We start from the raw sequence: 20,732 nt of genomic DNA, 5'->3' as shown, positions 1-20,732 counted from the left end.
AGATCTGATGAGTTTATCAGGGGTTTCTGCATTTGTTTTCTTCCTCATTTTCTCTTGCTGTCACCATGTAAGAAGTGCCTTTCACCTCCTGCGATGATTCTGAGGCCTCCCCAGCCATGTGGCACTGTAAGTCCAGTTAAACCTGTTTTTCTTCCCAGTCTCGGGTATGTCTTTATCAGCAGCATGAAAACAGACTAATACAGTTACAATCACAAAAAAACTCAAATAGTGTAAGCCAAAAATAAAAAGTGTAGGAGGATTTATTGACTTCCTGATTGATTGATTGATTGATTGATTGAGACACGTTGTTGCTCTGTCACCCCGGCTGTAATACAGTGGTGTGATATAGTTCACTGTAATCTCAAACTCCTGGGCTTAAGCAATCTCCCCACTTCAGCCTCCTGAGTAGCTAGGACTACAAGCATGTGGCACCACAACTGGCTAATTTTTAATTTTTTTTTTGTTGTTGAGACAGCAGTCTTACTTTGTTGCCCAGACTGGTCTCAAACTCCTGACCTCAAGCAGTCTTACTGCCTTGGCCTCCCAAAGTGTTGGAATTACAGGTGTGAGCCACCATGCCTGGCCAAAAGAGGATTTATTGACTCATATAAATGGGAAGGAGAGTGATGAATCCAAACTTTAGTGGATCTTGTTAGAAAGTCCTCTTCAACTCATGCCTGTAATCCCAGCACTTTGGGAGGCTGAGGCAGGTGGATCACCAAAGGTTAGGAGTTCAAGACCAGCCTGGCCAATATGGCGAAACCTTGTCTCTTCTAAAAATACAAAAATTAGCCAGGTGCAATGGCGCACACGTATAGTCCCAGCTACTTGGGAGGCTGAGGCAGGAGAATCACTTGAACCCAGGAGGCAGAGGTTGCAGTGAGCTGAGATCACACCATTGCACTCCAGCCTGGGTGAAAGAGTGAGACTCTGTCTAAAAAAAAAAAAACCAAAGTCCTCCTCAGATTTGTAGGTTTTGTTTGTTCTTGTTTTTAAAATCTTAACCTATCTTTGATTGGCTTCATTTTCTTGGGCTTCCACCCAAGAAACAGACTTCCACTCATCTCTTGTGGCTTACTTTGTCACAGTCTAGATTGAAGGGGAGAGCTTTCTTTCTAGGTGTGTATGTTTTTCAGTTCTGGTTAAGGGCTCCAGTTAGCTTTGACTTTTTCACATGCCTACATTTTGGACCAATTGTCATTGCCAGGGAAATGGTAAACTATAATTGGCTAATCCTGGGTCACTTGCTTACTTCTGTGGTCAGGTGACAAAGTTTATAACCAAAAGGACGATGAGAATCTTGCTGAGCAGATATTTTTCTTTTGAAAATGTGTTAAACTCATTTTCTGTTATATCTCCAATCATTGCCTAGTTTCATTTACTTTCTTTTGTAATGCAAATAGTCTTTAAGGTTTTTTTGTTTGTTTTGTTTTCTGTTTCATAAATCTTTTTCTTTCAGACAGGATCTCACTCTCTTGCCCAGGCTGGAGTGCAGTGGCACGATAATGGCTCACTGTAGCCTTGACCTCCCAGGCTCAATTGATCCTCTCGCCTCAGCCTCCCAAGTAGCTGGGACTACAGGCATGTGTCAGCACACCTGGATAATTTTTGTATTTTTTTTTTATTGTAGAGATGGGGTTTCACCACATTGCCTAGGCTGATCTCAAACTCTTGCGATCAAGCGATCTGCTCACCTCAGCCTCTCAAAGTGCTGGTATTACAGGGATGAGTCACTGTGCCCAGTCTCATAAATCTTAAAATCAGTGGAGATTCTACCCAATTTATGGCATACAGTAAACTGTGACCACTTTTTTGTGTGTTTCTCCTAGAGTAAATTATTATCTTGTTTACTTCTTACATTAATGCTTTAAAGATGCTGTAACAAAGAACCACAAACTAGGTGGCTTCTTAAAACAACAGAAATCTATTATCTCATTTCCTGAGGCCAGAGGTCTGAAATCAAGGTGTTGGCAGGGCCATGCTTCCTCCACAGCCATTAGGGGAGGCACTTTCTTCTATCTTCTGTTAAACTCAGGCATTTCTTGTCTTGTGGCAGCATAACTCCAATATCTACTTCCCATCTTCACATGACTGTCTTCCCCCTTTGTCTTTGTGATCTTAACTTGATTAAGTCTGCAGAGACCCTATTTCCAAATAAGGTCACCTTCACAAGTACTGGGGGTTAGGACTTCAACATATTTTTTGGGAGGAGAACACAATTCAACCCATAACACTTGTTTTTTTTATTTTTCTGTTTAGTCCCTCCTAAACTCTTTGCCGATTGCCTATATTGCCTCTCTAGATCTTCAGATTCACCAAATTTACCACAAATTTCAATTTACTAAGGAAGTCTCTCCTAGAGCATTCTTACCTGTTCTCCCATAGGGTGCTATTGCTCTCTGTGCCCCATCCTAGGATCTCCTCGTACCATCATCCTGGGAACTCACTTTGCCAATCTTCTGTTTTCCCCATGCCATGGCTTTCTCTTTTTGCCTTAGTTTAGGAGCTAATCTTCCATTGGCTTCCTATGAAAGGGTACGTGTTATAGAAATTGTTTGAGACTTTTCATGACTGAAAATGTTTTTATTTCATCTTCATATTTGATTGATTATTTAAGTTGGCTAGAATTTTAGGTGGAAATAATTTTCTTTATAATTTTTTCAGCATAACTTTATTGTAGTTCTAGCTTCCAGTGTTGCTTTGAGAAGCCATGTTGATTTCTGCTCCTTTATAATGATCAACTATTTCTCTGTGGAAGCTAGAGGGATCTTCTCCTTGTCCCTTGTATTCTGATATTTTATGATGATGTGCTTCAGTGGTTTCTGCTTTTATTTTTATTGACTTTTTCCTTCTATTTTCTTTCAGCTTATTTTATACATTGCTTAGTACTGGTTTAGCTTTATCCAACAAGTTTGATAGGTTATAATTTCAGTATTATTTGGGTTTATGTAGTTTTAAATTGCATTATGACTTTTTGTTTGACCCAGGAGTTCCTTAGAAATGTGGATTTTAGAAATTCTGAGTGCATGAAGACTTTTAACATATATTTGTTTTTCACTTCCAACTTAATTACATCAAGGTCAGAGAAAGTGTTGCATACCTGGTATGGATTCTTTGAAATGTGCTTTAATATGAGTCTTTTTCTATATAATGTGGTAGAACATGGTGGATTCTTTTAATTTGGAAAAATAAGCACCTTGGTTTGGGGAAATTTTAAAAATCATTTTATTGATAATCTCTACTTCTTTCTTTTTTTGAGCATCTGTTATATGGAGATTGGGCTTCCTGTATTGGCCTTCTTAGCTTCCTATCTTCTTCTAAAAACCTTTTGTCATTTTGTTCTATTCTCTGGAAGATTTCCTCAATTTTATCTTCCAAATCTTATATTAGGCCAGGCACAGTGGCTCACGCCTGTAATCCCAGCACTTTGGGAGGTCAAAGGCAGGCAAATCGCTTGAGCTCAGGAGTTCAAGACCAGCCTGGGCAACATGGTGAAATCCCCTCTCTAAAAAAAATACAAAAATTAGCTGGGCATGATGGTGTGTGCCTATAGTCCCAGCTACTCAGGAGGCTGAGATGGGAGGATGACTTGAACCCGGAGAGGGGCAGAGATTGCAGTGAGCCAAGATTGTGAGATCGTGCCACTGCATTCCAGCCTGGGCGACAGAGCCAGATGTGTCTCAAAACAAATCTTATATTAAACCTTTTGTACTATGCAATAATATTTTTAATGTATAGGAGCTCTTTTTTGTTCTCTGGGTACTTCACTATTTCATGGTTACTACATCTTCTAATCTTAATTTTTTTTTTTTTTGAGACAGGGTCTTGCTCTGTCACCCAGGCTGGAGTGCGGTGGCATGTTCACGGCCTCAAACTCCTGGGCTCAAGTGATCCTCCCACCTCAGCCGTCCTGAGTAGCTGGGACCACAGTCATGCACCACCATGCCTGGCAAATTATTTTGGAATTTATTGATAGTTGCAATACAGCCTAATACATGGTCAATTTTTATTATATGTTGCGTGTGTTTGAAAGTAATGTTTATTCTGTAATTGTTGATAATGTGTTGAAATTAGCCACTATTACGATGGTAGATTTATTACTTTCTTCCTATAGATCTATAAATTTTTGCTTTATGTATTTTAAAGCTCTTTTATTTATTCCATGCATGTTTATGATTGTTATGCTTTTCTGGTGTACTGAACCTGTTTTCATTCTTTAGCAAGCCTTTCTGTTTCTAATAATGTTTTCTTTTGTCTTGAATTCTGTTTTGTCTGCTATATAGTTATCCCACTTTTCTTTACATATTTCCTTGGTATATCTTTTTCTACCCTTTTATTTTCAACCTTCTCATAGCCTTATGTTTATGGTAGGTCTCTTGTAAATAGCTTTCCAGTCTGACAAGCTCTGTCTTTTAACTTTCAAATTTAGTCCATTTATATGTACTGTGATTATTGATACATTTGGACTTATTTCTGTGATCATAATTATTATTTCCTTTCATCCAGTTTTTTTTGTATGCCTCCCTTTTCTTCTTAACAATTTTTGATTCATTGAAAAAAACAATTTTGGCTGGTCATGATGTCTCACACTTGTAATCTCAGCACTTTGGGAGGCTAAAACTGGAGGATTGCTTGAGGCCAGGAGTTCAGAACCAGCCTGGTCAACATAGAGAGACCCTGTCTCTACAAAAGGAAAAATAATTAGCCAGGCATTGTGGCACATGCCTGTAGTCCTAGCTACTCAGAAGGCTGAGATGGGAGGATCACTTGACCCCAGGAGTTTGAGGCTGCAGTAAGCCATGATTGTGTCATTCTAACCTGGGCAACACAGTGAAACTCTTAAAAATTTAAAAAAAAATTAACTTTTTCCATTTCACTTCTTTCCCCTACTGATTTGAAACTAATACTTTCTATTTTGTTTCTTATCATTGTATAAGTCCATTCTCACACTGCTATAAGGATACTACCTGAGACCAGGTAATTTATAAAGAAAAGAGGTTTAATTGACTCACTGTTCTGCATGGCTGGGGAGGCCTTAGGAAACTTACAATCATGGTGGAAGGTGAAGGGGAAGCAGGTACCTTCTTCACAAGGTGGCAGGAAAGAGAGAGCGCAGGGGAAGTGCCACACACGTATCAACCAAATCTCATGAGAACTCACTCACTATCACAAGAACAGCATGGGGGAAACTGCCTCCAGGATCCAGTCATCTCTCACTAGGTCCCTCTTCCAACATGGGATTATAATTTAGGTTATAATTCAAGATGAGATTTGGGTGGGACACAGAGCCAAACTCTATCAATCATGGCTACTCTTGAAATTTTACGAGGTATATTTAAGTTAGTAATGTCTAAAAATGAACAATAACTCAACTTTGTTGGCAAAAAATATAAGGACCTTACAGTACTTTTAAGTTCAATCGTCCACTCCCAACTTACATATTTTTGTTTTACAGTATTTTGGTTCTGTCTTTTCTTTCACCCCAAATTATAATAATCAGCATTATTGCTATTATTTAGACAATGTTTGTTTATATTACATATATTTAAATTTAATAACCTTTTATTCTTGCCTCTTAGGACAACCGTCTCAGATCATTTTTCTTCATTTTGAAATTCACCATTTAGGCCAGGCGCAGTGACTCATGCCTATAATGCCAGCACTTTGGGAGGCCAAGGTGGGAGGATTGCTTGAGGCCAGGAGTCCAAGACCAGCCTGAGCAATATAGCGAGATCCCATCTCTAGTAAAAAAAAAAAAAAAAAAAAGAAAACAAGAAAAATTCACCATTTAGATTAGGTTATTTAGTGAAGGTCTTTGGTGGTAGATTGTGTTAGTTTTTAAAAAATGCCTTTAATTTGCCTTTATTCTTGAAAGATAGTTTTTCTTGGTACACATTTCTAAGTTGACAGTCATTTTCTCTCTGCTCTTTGATGGTATCATTCCACTGTCTTTTGACTTACATGTGGCAGTTACAGTTGTCCTAATAGTATAATTGTCATTGCCTTGTATGTATGCAGGAAAGGGTTAACTCAGCAGGCTTGCACATTCCCAAGGTCCTTAGGACTGTCCTGTGGCCAGGCTCCTGGGAGATAACCTCTGAGTCCTTGGAGTATTCTGCTTCTTAGGAATGTCTGTATGCCTGAGGTCTTGGGCCTTGCCAGATAGTTTATGCAAACAATGTGGTTTATGGTAAATACTTGTTTTTGATGCCGGAGGTTTTGGTCCACACTGTGTCTGTTTGACCTCTGGGGGCTGAGTAGCTGAGGTCTGTCATGAAGGAACTACATGCCTGTGTGACTGACCCCAAATAGAAACCCTGACCTCAAGCCTCACTGAGCTTCCGCTTTGCACATGGGAGAATTAAGTGCTGACCATGTGACTCCACTGGAGGACAACTGCTCCTTGTTTTGGCCCTATGTCTTTTCCCTTTGCCAATTTTAATCTGTATCCTTTTGCTGTAATAAACTGTAACCCTGAGTATAACAGCTTTTCTGAATCCTATGAGTCCTAGCAAATCACTGAACCTGAGAGTGGTCTTGGGGCCTGACACATATATCTTTTCTTTCTGGATTTTGTTAAGGTCTCTTTGTTTGGGGTGTGCTATAATTTTACTGGAATGTGTACATAAGTGGATGATGATGATTATTATTTTAAGACAGGGTCTCACTCTGTCACCCAGGCTGGAGTGCAGTGGTAAGATCATGGATCACCGTATCCTTGACCTCCTGGGTTAAAGTGATCCTCCCACCTTAGCCTCTTGAGTGGCTGGGACTACAGATGCATGCCACCATGCCCAGCTTCTTCTTCTTCTTCTTCTTCTTTTTTTTTCAGTAAAATGAAGTCTCCCTATATTACCCAGCTTGGCTTTGAACTCCTGGACTCAAGTGATCCTCTCACCTCAGCCTCTCAAAGTACTGGGTTTACAGGTGTAAGCCACTGCACCTGGCTTGATTATTAATTTTGTTTGCTGTTCTTTGTATATTCTAATTTTTCTTGGGATTGGGCTTCCTAAATCTGTGGATTCATGTCTTTCATTAATTTGGGAAAATTTTCAGCTATTATTTATTATATTCTCTCTGGAATGGTAGTTATATGTTAGGTTGCATTCTATCCTCCATATCGTTGAACCTCTGTTCAATATTTTTCATTTATTTGTTATAGTCTGGGCAATTTCCTTACTAATTCTTTCTTTATCTATCTATTCTGCTTCTTAAGCCTTTCGCTGAATTTTTTATTTCAAAAACTTTTTCATTTCAAGAAATTCTGGTTCTTTTTCAAATCTTCTTTCCATTCCTGGTTATTGTTTTGTTTTTTTGTTTTGTTTTGTTTTAAGACAGGATGTCTCTCTCTGTTACTTAGGCTGGAGTGTAGCAGTGGGATTATATCTCACAGTAACCTTCAACTCTTGGGCTCAAGTGATTCTCCTCTCTCAGCCTCCTGAGTAGCTATGGCTGCAGGTGTGGACCACCACACCTGGCTAAGTTTTCTATTTTTTTTTTTTTTAGAGCCAGGTCTCACTATGCTGCCTAGGCTGGTCTTGAACTCCTGGCCTCAAGTGATCCTCCCACTTTGGCCTCCCAAAGTGCTGGGATTACAAGTGTGAGCCACCACGCCTGGCCTGCATTTTATTCCTGATAGTTTTTGGTTGCTTGTTCATCCTTGAGAGCCTGGGGCCTGAGGGAACTCACCACACTGGAGGGAAAGGCCATGGGCAAGGTCTAATGCTGTGCTGGCTTCAGGTCTGACCCAGCTTAGTCCCATTGGTGGTGGTCACAGGGGTGCTTGGATCACCATACCCTCAGTTCCAGGTGGCTCAGCAAAGAGAGATAGAGATTCCATTTGTTTAGGAGAAAGTAAGGGAAAAGAACAGAAGTCTCTGCCTAGGAATCCAGATAATTTTTCCATATCTTATCCAACACTACCAAGGTGGTACTACCAAGGTGGTACTGCTACAAGTCTGCAAAGACCAGTGTTACTTGGCTTGGGGCCCAAGTCCCTTGGAATACTTAAGAAGCCTTCCCAAGAAGGACAGGCATAAACAAATCCAGACTGTAAAGACTACAATAAATACCTAATTCTTGAATGCCCATACATTGATGAACATCTATAAGCACCAGCATCATCCAGGAGAACATGACCCCACCAGATCTAAATAAGGCACCAGGGACCAATCCTGGAGAACAGAGATATATGTCCTTTCAGACAGAGAATTCAAAATAGTTGTTTTGAGGAAATTCAATGAAATTCAAGATAACATAGAGAAGGAATTTAGAATTCTATCAGATAAATTAGACAAAGGCATTCAAATACTTCAAAAGAATCAAGCAGAAATCCTGGAGTTGAAAACTGCAATTTGGCATACTTAAGAATGCATCAGAGTCTCTTAACAGCAGAACTGATCAAGCAGAAGAAAGAATTAGTGAGCTTAAGACTGGCTATTTGAAAAGACAGAGAGGAGACAAAAGAAGAAAGAATAAAGAATGAAGCACACCTATGAAATCTAGAAAATATCTTCAAAAGGGCAAACCCAAGAGTTATTGGTCTTAAAGAGGAGGTAGAGAAAGAGATAGGGTAGAAAGTTTATTTAAAGGGATAATAACAGAGAACTTCCCAATCATAGAGAAAAATATGAATATCCAAGGACAAGAAGTTTGTAGAGCACCAAGCAGATTTAATCCGAAGACTACCTCAAGGCATTTAATAATCAAACTCTGAAAGGTCAAGGATAGAGAAAAGATCCTAAAAGCAGCAAGAAAAAAAGAAACAACGTAAAATGGGGCTGTAATACGTCTGTCAGCAGACTTTACAGTAGAAACCTTACAGGCCAGGAGAGAGTGGCATGACATATTTAAAGTGCTGAAGGAAAACAACTTTTACCCTAGAATAGTATATCTGGCAAAAAAAAAAAAAAAAAAAATCCTTTAAGCATGAAGGAGAAATAGAGATCTCCATACACAAATAAAAGCTGAGGGATTTCATCAACACCCGGCTTGTCCTATAGGAAATGCTAAAGGGATTTCTTCATTCTGAAAGAAAAGGATGTTAATAAACAATAAGAAATCACCTAAAGGTAGAAAACTCACTGGTAACTGTAAGCACAGAGAAAAACAGAATAGTATAACATTGTTATCACAGTGTGTAAACTTCTCTTGAGTTAAGTAGAAACACTAAACAGTGAACCAGTAAATCATAACTACAACTTTTCAAGACATAGACAGTACAATAAGACATAAAGAGAAAAAACAAAAAGTTAAAAAGCAAGAGGACAAAGTTATAGAGTTTTAATATTATTTTTGAATGTTTATGAAAGCAGTGTTAAGTTGTCATCAGTTTAAAATAATTAGTTATAATATTTGCAAGCCTCATGGTAACCTCAAATCAAAAAATATACAACAGATACACAAAAAATAAAAAGCAAGAAATTGAAGTGTACTGCAAGAGCAAATCATCTTCACTAAAAGGAAAACAGAAAGGAAGGAAAGAAGAAAGAGAAGACCGTCAGTCAACCAGAAAAAAAAATAATAAAATGGCAGCAGTAAGTCCCTAACTGTCAATAACAACATTGAATGTAAATGGACTAAACTCTCCAATGAAAAAACATAGAGTGGCTGAATGGATTAAAAAAAAGAAAACAAGACCCAATGATCTGTTGCCTACAGGAAGCACACTTCAGCTATAAAGATACACACAAAATGAAAATAAAGGGCTGGAAAAAGATATTTTATCCCAATAGAAACCAAAAAGAAGCAGTAGCTGTACTTAGACAAAACAGATTTAAAGGCAAGAACTAAGAAAAGACAAAGCAGGTTATTACATAAAGATAAAGGGGTCAGTTCAGTAAGAGCATATAATGATTGTGAATACATGTGCACCTAACACTGGAGCACCCAGATATATAAAGCAAATATTAGTAGAGCTAAAGAGAGAGGCTGGGTGTGGTGGCTCATGTCTGTAATCCTAGCACTTTGGGAGGCCAAAGTGGGAGGATCACTTGAGCCCAGGAGTTTGAGACCAGCCTGGGTAACAAAGTGAGACCCCATGTCTCCAAAAAAAAAGCCAGGCATAGTGGCACCAGCTATACATAAGGCTGAAGTGGAAGGATTGCTTGATCCCAGGAGGTTAAGGCTGCGGTGAGCTGTGTTTGGACCACTGCATTCCACCCTGGGCAAAAGCAAAAGAGTAAATCTTGTCTCGCAAAAAAAAAAAAAAAAAAAAAAAAAAGGCAGACCTCAATATAACAATAGCTAGAGACTTAAAGAGCCCATTTTCAGCATTGGACAGATCTCCCAGACAGAAAATCAACAAAGAAACATCAGACTTAATCTGCACTGTAGAACAAATGGACCTAATAGATATTTATAGAACATTTTATCCAGTGGCTTCAGAATACACATTTTTCTCCTCAACGCATGAATCATTCTCAAAGGACAGGCCATGTGTTGGGTCACAAAATGAGTCTTAAAACACTCAAAACATTGAAACAATGTCAAGCATCTACCCTGACCACAATGGAGTAAAACTTAAAATCAATAATGAGGAATTTTGGAAACTATACAAACACCTGGAATTTAAACAGTGTGCTCCTAAATGACCAGTGGCCAATGAAAAATTAAGAAGGAAATTGAAAATATTATTGAAACAAATAATAATGGAGACATAACATTCCAAGACCTATGGGATACAGCAAAAGCAGTACTAATGGAAATTTAGATCTGTAAGTGCCTACATCAGAAAAGAGGAAAAACTTCAAATAAGCAATCTAATGACGCATCTTAAAGAATTAGAAAAAGCAGGAGCAAAGCAAACCCAAAATTAGTAGAAGAAAAGAAATAATAAAGATCAGCACAGAAATAAGTGAATTTGAAGAAACATACAAAAGATCAACAAAACAAAAAGTTGGTATTTTGAAAAGATAAACAAAGTTGACAAATCATTAGCCAGACTAAGAAAAAAAGAAGACCCAAGTAAATAAAATCAGAGATGAAGAAGGAACATTACAATGAATACTACAGAAATTCAAAGGATCATTAGTGTCCACTATGAGCAACTATATGCCAATAATTTGGAAAATTTAGAAGAAATTGATAAATTTCTAGACACATAGAACCTACAAAGATTGAACCATCAATCAAAAACCTGTATAGACCAATACAAGTAATGTGACCGAAGCCATAATAGTCTCCCAGTAAAGAAAAGCGCAGGACCTCATGGCTTTGCTACTGAATTCTACCAAACATTTGAAGAAGAACTAATACCAATCCTACTCAAACTGTTCTGAAAAATGGAGGAGGGAATACTTCCAAATTCATTCTGTGAGGCCAGAATTACCCTGATACCAAAACCAGAGAAAGACACATCAAAAAAACAAAATTATAAACCAGTATCTCTGATGAATATTGATGGAAAAATCCTGAATGAAATAGTAGCAAACCAAATTCAACAATACATTTGAAAGATCATTTATCAGCCAGGCACGGTGGTTCACATCTGTAATCCCAGCACTTTGGGAGGCTGAGGCAGGCAGATCACCTGAGGTGATCATCTGAGGTCAGGAGTTCGAGACCAGTCTGGCCAACATGCTGAAACCCTGTCTCTACTAAAAATACAAAAAAATTAACCAGGCGTGGTGGCACACACCTGTAATCCCATCTACTCAGGAGGCTGAGGCAGGAGAATCACTTGGACCTGGGAGGCAGAGGTTGCAGTGAGCTGAGAACACACGACTGTACTCCAGCCTGGGCAACAGAGTGAGACTCCATCTCAAAAAAAAAAAAAAAGGCCGGGCGCGGTGGCTCACGCCTGTAATCCCAGCACTTTGGGAGGCCGAGGCGGGCGGATCACGAGGTCAGGAGATCGAGACCATCCCGGCTAAAACGGTGAAACCCCGTCTCTACTAAAAATACAAAAAATTAGCCGGGCGTAGTGGCGGGCGCCTGTAGTCCCAGCTACTTGGGAGGCTGAGGCAGGAGAATGGCGTGAACCCGGGAGGCGGAGCTTGCAGTGAGCCGAGATCCCGCCACTGCACTCCAGCCTGGGCGACAGAGCGAGACTCCGTCTCAAAAAAAAAAAAAAAAAAAAAAAAAAAATAGCTGGATGTAGTGGTGCATGCCTATAGTTTCAGCTACTTGAGAGTCTGAGGTATGAAAATCACTTGAACGTGGGAGGCAGAGGTTGCTTTGAGCCGAGATCACACCACTGCACTCCAGCCCGGGCAACAGAATGAGACCCTGTCTCAAGAAAAAAAAAAAAAAAAGGAAGTTTCTATATAGACTTTATTTAAAATAACAGAAGCCCTGGATAAATACATCTCTGCTTCTTAATTCTAAAAAACAAGATATGTCACTTCTGAAAGACATGGCATTGCTTTCCGTCCTTTCCCCCCTCCCCCTCCCTCCCCCTGTCCCTCCTCCTCTCCCTCCCCCTCTCCCTCCCCCTCTGCCTCTTCCTCCACCTCTGCCTCTGCCTCAAGGAATCCTCCTGCATTGGCCTCCCAGGGTATTGGAATTACAGGCGTGAGCCACCGTGCCCAGCCGGTATTTTTTTATTCTGGAGACTATCTGCCTGATGGGAAATTGTCAACATTACCTGAGGTAAAAAATCAAGGAATTTAGTGTTTAACTCAGTTAAATTTAAATTTGGATTTTAACTCAATAAATCATGCAAACTTTCTCTCCCACTTCAGCATGCTTGAATCTCAGCTCTACCATTACTTACTCCCTATCCTTAAGTAAGTCAATCTCTCTGAAACTGTTTTCTCATTTATAAAATGGAGATAATATAATCTGCCTTGCTTGGTTCTTGTGAATATTAAATGAACATATGTTTTAAAACCAATTACTGTTAGGAGTGGAGTAAGCATTTAATAAATGCTTGCTGTTATTAATATCTAAGAAATACAGATATTAAGACTAGTTGCATTTGAAATAAAGCAACATACAAATGTAGTATTTGGAGGAATTATGCAATATCTGCTTTTTTTCTTTTCCAGTTTCCTGCAAATGCATCAGAAATATGTTGTATTATTAGAACATCACCAGGAACTAGACAAGTGAAAAATAAAGGTGTTATTGTAAAGAAGAAGAAATATTCTCTTCCTAAGGATACCCCTCAAGGTACTGTAGTATGAATGCAGAGCATACTTTTTGGATGATATAAAACATTTTTTTCATTAAAAATGCCTTATGTACACAGGAAATTCAATTATAAATTGTATTCTAAGAGTTCTTGCAGAAAGTGGAAATGGTAAAATTATAAAAGCCTGGTCAGGGGTGGACTCAGTGGCTCATGCCTATAATCCCAGCACTTTGGATAGCTCAGGCAGGAGGATCAGTAGAGCCTAGGAGTTCAAGGTTATGGTGAGCTATCATCAGGTCACTGCACTCCAGCCTGAGTGACAGAGAGAGACCCTGTCTCTTCATTAAAAAAAATAAAGTCTGGTCAGATTTCAGAACAAGAACCAGAGTAAAATAATTTTTTGAAAGACAGATACTTTATCTTTTGAAAAATTAGCGTATGGCACTAATGTAAAATATATTTATCCAGGATACTTTCTCTTATAATTATGTGAAATTTAGTATTGTTTTGGTTTCAATTTTAGTAGCATTATTTTTAGAGATGTGGAGATGTTTTTGCATTCACCTCATATTGGTTGAGTACTTCCTCTGTGAAAGGCACTGTGCTAAGAACCTTATATTTCATTACGACTTTATAATAGATGTGTACTGTTATTCCCATTTTACATATTAAGACTCTGAGATTTAAAGTAGTAAGGAATTTGTCCAAGATCATACTTCTTCAAGTGGTAGAGAGGAATTCAATCTTTTAAGCTTTCTAACTCCAAATGCAGTGTTTTTTTGTTTTGTTTTGTTTTTTCTTTGGTTTTTTGAGTTTAGAAGGCTTAACATCTCCCCTCACTATGCTTCAGCCAGAATGTCTAATTACTCAGTGGCACTTTGGAATTTTTATGAGTAAATAGCCAATGAAGCAATTGAAATTTAGTTAGATATGTACAGCTTCAATTCAACCAAGATGTCCACTCTTAATTCTTGTACTTATTTCCTCCACAGTACCTGCCCTGAGCATTCTCTAAGTCTATAGAGATCCCTTTTTTATAAGTTCCTTGAATACTCAATTCAGTGCTACTCATTTGATACTTAATAATTGTATTTGTCAGGGTTCTCCAGAAAAACAGAACCTAAAGGAGATAGAGATATATGAGAGGGGATTTTTTTTTTTTTTGACAGATTCTCGCTCTGTCACCCAGGCTGGAGTGCAGTGGCGCAATCTCAGTTCACTGCAAGCTCCGTCTCCCAGGTTCACACCATATTCCAGCCTCAGCCTCCCGAGTAGCTGGGACTACAGGCACCCGCCACCACGCCCGGCTAATTTTTTTTTTTGTATTTTCAGTAGAGATGGGGTTTCATCGTGTTAGCCAGGATGGTCTCGATCTCGTGACCTTGTGATCTGCCTGCCTTGGCCTCTCAAAGTGTTGGGATTACAGGCGTGAGCCACCGTGCCCGGCCAGTGAGGGGGATTTTTAATGAAAATTGGCTAATGTGGTTATGGAGGCTGAAAAGTTCCATGATATGCCATCTGCCAGCTGGAGAACCAGAGAAGCCAGTGGCATCACTAAGTCCAAGTCCAAGGGACTTAGAACTTGGGGAGTGTTTATGCAACTCCCAGAATCCATAGGCTAAGGAACCTGGAGTTCTAAGGTCCAAGGACAAGAGAAAATGGATGTCCTCGCTCCAGAAGAGAGAGTAAATCTGCCTTTCCTCCGCCTTTTCTATTCTGGTCCTCAACCAGTTGGATGGTGCCTGACCACTTTGGGTGAGGGCAGATTTTCTTTATTCAGTCCACTGATTCAAATGCCAGTCTCTTCTGGAAACATCCTCACAGAAACAGATCTACTCAGAAATAATGCTTTACCAGCTTTCTGAGTATCCCTTATTCCAGCCAAATTGATATCTAAAATTGACCATCACAATAATATATTGCTACCCAACCTAATTTACAGTGCTGACTTTTCATATTTCATATTCCTTAGGTTATGAAGTTTTCAAGGAGAAAGCACATAATTGACTTCTTTCTATCTCTATCTCTGATAACATCAGCATAGTGGTAGGGAATAGCAAGATCCTGTATTTGTCAGGATCCTACAAAAGAAAAAGCCAATTTTATATATATGGAAAACATTAAAGAGAGGTTGAAAGTTATAGAGGATAGAATAAGGCCTAACGTATGCAAATTACCATTCCGGAGAGAATAAAACAAGGAATTGACTTATACAGTTATGGAGCTGTAGAAGTATAGCTGGGCAAGTTTGCAAACTGTATGGCAGGCTGGAAACTCTTGGGCAGGAGCCAATGATGCAGTCTACAGATAGATTTCTTTTTGTTCAGATAAACTTCAGTTTTGCTCTTAAGGCCTTTCAACTGATTGAATGAGGCCTACCTATATTATCAGGGATAATCTCCTTGAAGTTTATATAAAGTTTATTGTAGATATTAACCACATCTACAAAATACCTTCACAGCAACGCTTAGATTAGTATTGAACTGAATAATTGTGTAATATATCCTAGGCAAGTTGTCACACACAACTAACCATCACAGCGCATTCCTTATCAACTATGCATCCATTTGCATCTCCTTAAACCATAATTTAATCTCCAGATAAAGACAATAATAAAGTCATACTTTTGCCTAACATGCTACAACTCTCCTGCATAAAACTGAAAATGTGCTAACCCTTTCCCCAGAAGAGGATACAAAGTTTCGGGCAATGTTCACCCTTCTTCTTGCTATCCTGTAACTTAAAAACTGTGATATAAAGTTAACTATTATTAATACATTGTACATCATATGATAAAGGGATAAGAGAGAGAAGAAAACAAAGATACTTGCCTAACTAATCAGGTGATCGTAACAGGTATTTATAACCACCTTCTTCTATTACCCATGCCATATTCCTTCTGCCTTCAGCAGGCACTTCAGATGGTCATGGTTCTTTACCTGGTGGGTGACACAAACTTTATTTCTGATGGGTCTGGGCCATTAGCAGTCCTGCATGGATTGGGTTGTTGTAGTTTTCCATTAACGTTAATCACAGGGTATGATAAAATTAACAGATACCCTAAGAGATCTCCTGTGTTCCAGACATATTCTTCCTTACCACCATTGTGGAGTAGTAGTTCAGATTCTCCTTGGTAGTCCGGATCAGTCGCCCCAGTCAACACCGTAAGTCGCTTCTTAGCCTATTGACTCCAAAGTGACTGGGGGCAGTCTTAACTTCCAGTTTAATAGAATTAGTCTCCTGTGGAGGAATTTCTCCCTTTGGAACTAAGACCTCTAAGCCAGTGGGGCATAAAATTATGAGAACAGGAAGAATAAATTTTGCTAGTGGGTCACCAGGGTTAATAATGCATGGTGCCACTTTTGTTTCTACCCCTTGATTCCTGGCTATGGAGGGAAAAAAAGTACCATTTATTGGATGCTGATTCAGAGCATATATATAGCCCTCTGGAGAACTCTGCCCTCCCTGCAAGTTATTGCCACCTAGCTGGTGCTATAACTGAATCTTCAAAAGGCCATCCCATCATCCTATTAGGCCAGCTTCTTTAGCATGATAAGGAACATAGACCAGTGAATTCCAGGAGCAATGACTCATACTGAAATTCTTTTGCTGTGACGTGAGTTCCTTGATCAGAAGCAATGTTGTATGGAATATGACAATGGGTAAAGCATTCCATGAGACCATGGATGACAATTTTGGCAGAATTTTGTATGAGGAAGGCAAATCTGTATCGAGGGTCTGTTCTAGTAAGAACAAAATGCTACCCCTTCCATGATGGAAGTAGTTCAATGTAATCAACTACAAAGCTGACTGAGCACCCAGAGGAATAGTGCCATACTTGGAGTCAGTGTTGTTGTCTGCTGCTGACTGGTTGGGCCCTCAGCAGTGGCATCCAGGTTGGCCTTGGATAGTGGAAATCCATATTGCTGAGCCTATGTATGACCTCCATTCTTGCCACTGTGGCCACTTTGTTCATGAGCCATGAACAAAGAGGATACCAGTTAGCCTCTTTCCCCAGCCCTGTTCTGACAGAGGTGGCTGGAATAGAGACTGACTGGTTTCCACAGACTTGATTATCCTATATTCACTTCATTATTAAAATCCTCCTCTGCTAAGATCACCTTTGGTGAGAATTTTATGGCATACATCCTTCTTTTCTTTTCTTCTTTTCTTTTTTTTCCCATTGAGAGAGGTCTGTCCTGGGTGGGTGTGATGGCTCATGCCTGTAATCCCACCGCTTTGGGAGGTTGAGGCGAGTGGATCGCTTGAGCCCAAGAGTTTGAGACCAGCCTGGGCAACATTGTGAAACCATCTCTTCAAAAAAATACAGAAATTAGCCAGGTGTGGTGGTGCACTCCTGTAGTTCCAGCTACTTGGGAGGCTGAGGTGGGAGGATCACCTGAGCCCGAGGAGGTGGAAGCTGCAGTAAGCTGTAATCACGCCACTGCACTGCAGCCTGAGCAATAGAGTGAGATCCTGTCTCAAAAAAAAAAAAAAAAGATCTGTCCAATGCCTCCTTTCAAATTTTTCAGTCCACTTGTGATGGATTACTGAGTGTCAACTTGATTGAATTAAAGGATGCAAAGTATTGTTCCTGTGTGTGTCTGTGAGGGTATTGCCAAAGGAGATTAACATTTGAGTCAGTGGACTGGGAGAGGCAGACTCACCCTCAATTTGGTGGGCATCATCTATCTAATCAGCTACCAGCATGCCAGAATAAAAGCAAGCAGAAGAATGTGAAAAGATTAGACTGGTTTAGCCTCCCAACCTACATCTTTCTCTGATGCTGGATGCTTCCTGCCCTCTAACATCGAACTCCAAGTTTTTCAGCTTTGGGACTCGGACTGGCTTCCTTGCTCCTGAGCTTGCAGATGGCCTATTGTGGGACTCTGCGATCATGTGAGTTAATACTCCTTAATAAACTCCCTTTTATGTATATATATTGTATTAGTTCTGTCCTTCAGAGAACCCTGACTAATACAATGTTCTTTCCAAGTCCCTGACCATACAGCCAAATCATTGGCTACCACTCTAGAATACAGTTAAAGATCGGCTGGGCACGGTGGCTCAAGCCTGTAATCCCAGTACTTCGGGAGGCTGAGGCGGGCGGATCATGAGATCAGGAGATCGAGACCGTCCTGGCTAACACAGTGAAACCCCGTCTCTACTAAAAATACAAAAAAATTAGCCGGGCATGGTGGCGGGTGCCTGTAGTCCCAGCTACTCAGGAGGCTGAGGCAGGAGAATGGCGTGAACCCGGGAGGCGGAGCTTTCAGTGAGCCAAGATCATGCCACTGCACTCCAGCCTGGGTGACAAAGCAAGACTCTGTCTCAAAAAAAAAAAAAAAGAATATAGTTAAATATCTGGTTATTTCTCCTTTCAACAAAGCACACAACCGGGTGCACTCCTCTCAGTTCTGCCCACTGGGAGGACTTATCTTCACCAATTTCCTTTAGGGATGTCCCAGAAAGAAATTGTAGGTGCTCTAACTGTCGACTTTAAGGCAGTACCTGCATATCATAGAGAACCATTTGTAAATCAAATATGAGTTTTCTCTTCCTCAGTCAACTGATTGTAGAGAACTCCTCATGTCATCTTCAGAGCAGGCAGTGAGAAAAAAGGTAATGTAGCCAGGGTGGGGGCCATGGACATTTGGGTCACTTCCTCATGTTACTTACTTATGACTTCAGGGCCTGCTCAAGCTCAATTTTACATAAACCACTTCCATTTGATAATGGAGTGCTGCCATTAACACCAAATTTATGACTTGGTAGGTCAGACAGCACATAGTTCATGATAGGCAGTGTGGGTCACATGGTAACTTGATGGCCTATGATTAAGTGCTTAGTTGCTACTAAAATTTGGCAATAAGCCAAAAGCTGTTTCTCAAAAGAGTAGTTTTCCACTGAGGATGGAAGGACTTCACTCCAAAATCCTAAAGGTTCACCCTGGGAGTCACCTGCAGGGACCTGCCAAAGGCTCCAAGCAGCGTTTCTATCTGCCACTAACACTACAAGCACCGTTGGATCTGCTGGATCATTTGGCACAATTTTCAGAGCAGCTCCACAGCAACCTCGACCTATTGCAGATGATTCTCTTGTTCTGGGCCTCCCTTCAAATCTAGCAGCTTTTTAGGTCACTCAGTGAGTGGGCTGGAGTGGCACACCTAAATGAGAAATATGTTAACTCCAACATCCAAAAAAGCTGACTAGGCATTGTGTCTGCCTTTTGGTTATAGGAGGTGCCAGATGCAATACCTAATTCTTCGCCTTAATAGGGATGTCCCTCATACTACTTGACCCCTGGAAATTACAAAGGTGGAAGGCCTTTGGAGACCTACCAATTTCATTGTAGGAATATACCCAACTGTAATGTATATATGTGTCACCAAAAAATATCTACTAGAATATTAATAGCATCAGTGTTCATGATAGCCTCAAGCTGGAAACTATCCAAATGCCCATTAAGTAAAATGGATCAACTATGGTATATTCATTCATTCAAGTGCTATATAGCAGTGAAAATCAACAATATAAAGTTATATGCAACTGTTACATATTACATGTTATATACAAAATTACAAACATAATGATGCGTTTAACAAAGGGTGCCAGACCCAGTAGAGTATATTTAATATTATCTACATACAGTATAAAACTTGGCAAAACTAAACTATAATGGAAATCACGATAGTGGATGCCCTTGTTGGAGTGGGGGCATTACTTGGAAGGGATTACAAGGGGGAATTCTAGGGTGCCGATAATGTTGTGTTTCCTTATGTCAGTGCTGTTTACACAGGTATGTTGTGTTTGTGAAAACCTATCAAGCTGTACATATGTGTACATTTCTGTGTATTTGTTATACTTTAAGAAGAAGTTGGCCGGGCTGGGCGCAGTGGCTTAGGCCTGTAATCCGAGCACTTTGGGAGGCCCAGGCGGGTCAGGAGATCGAGACCATCCTGGCTAACACGGTGAAACCCCATCTCTACTAAAACTACAAAAAATTAGCTGGGCGTGGTGATGGGCACCTGTAGGCCCAGCTATTCAGGAGGCTGAGGCAGGAGGATGGCATGAACCCGGGAGGCAGAGCTGGCAGTGAGCCGAGATCGTGCCACTGCACTCCAGCCTGGGCGAGAGTGAGACTGCATCTCAAAAAAAAAAAGAAGAAGTTGGCTAGGCATGATGGCTCATGCCTGTAATCCCAGCACGTTGGGAGGCCGAGGTGGGCGGATTACCTGAGGTCAGGAGTTCGAGAACAGCCTAGCCAACATGGCGAAACCCTGTCTCTACTAAAAATACAAAAATTAGCTGGGCATGGTTGCAGGTGCCAGGAGGCAGAGGTTGCAGTGAGCCGAGATTGCACCACTGCATACCAGCCTGGATGACAGAGTGAGACTCCGTCTCAAAAATAAAAAATTAAAAAAAAAAAAAAGAAAAGAAAAAGTTTACAAATAACACTAGCAACACTCTTAATTTGATCTTTTTGGCCTGTCATATTAGTTTCTGACGTTAGATATTGTTAAAATTCTGGACTTAAGTATGCAACAAATCAAAACCAAAGTGTGTCTGGGAGGTTCTTTTGAGTGTTCAGACTGAAGTTTTTTAGTTTAATTTACAGAGATAACTGCCCTTAATTCCCCTCCCCATTAATGTTGAA

General features: G+C 40.1%; 1 protein-coding gene across 1 annotated transcript in view; it reads left to right on the top strand.

Moving 5' to 3' along the window:
- The window catches only part of MEIKIN (meiotic kinetochore factor), a 138,674-nt gene that overhangs the window by 113,811 nt on the left and 4,131 nt on the right, over positions 1-20,732 (top strand). The window contains exon 12 of the mRNA NM_001303622.2: positions 12,990-13,113. Within this exon, the coding sequence (NP_001290551.1) occupies positions 12,990-13,113 (124 nt within the window). The remainder of the gene's footprint in view (positions 1-12,989; positions 13,114-20,732) is intronic.

The sequence above is a fragment of the Homo sapiens genome, chromosome 5 (genome assembly GCF_000001405.40).
Source record: "Homo sapiens chromosome 5, GRCh38.p14 Primary Assembly".
Classification (NCBI taxonomy): Eukaryota; Metazoa; Chordata; class Mammalia; order Primates; family Hominidae; genus Homo; species Homo sapiens.
This window is presented reverse-complemented; position numbering and strand designations above follow the sequence as displayed.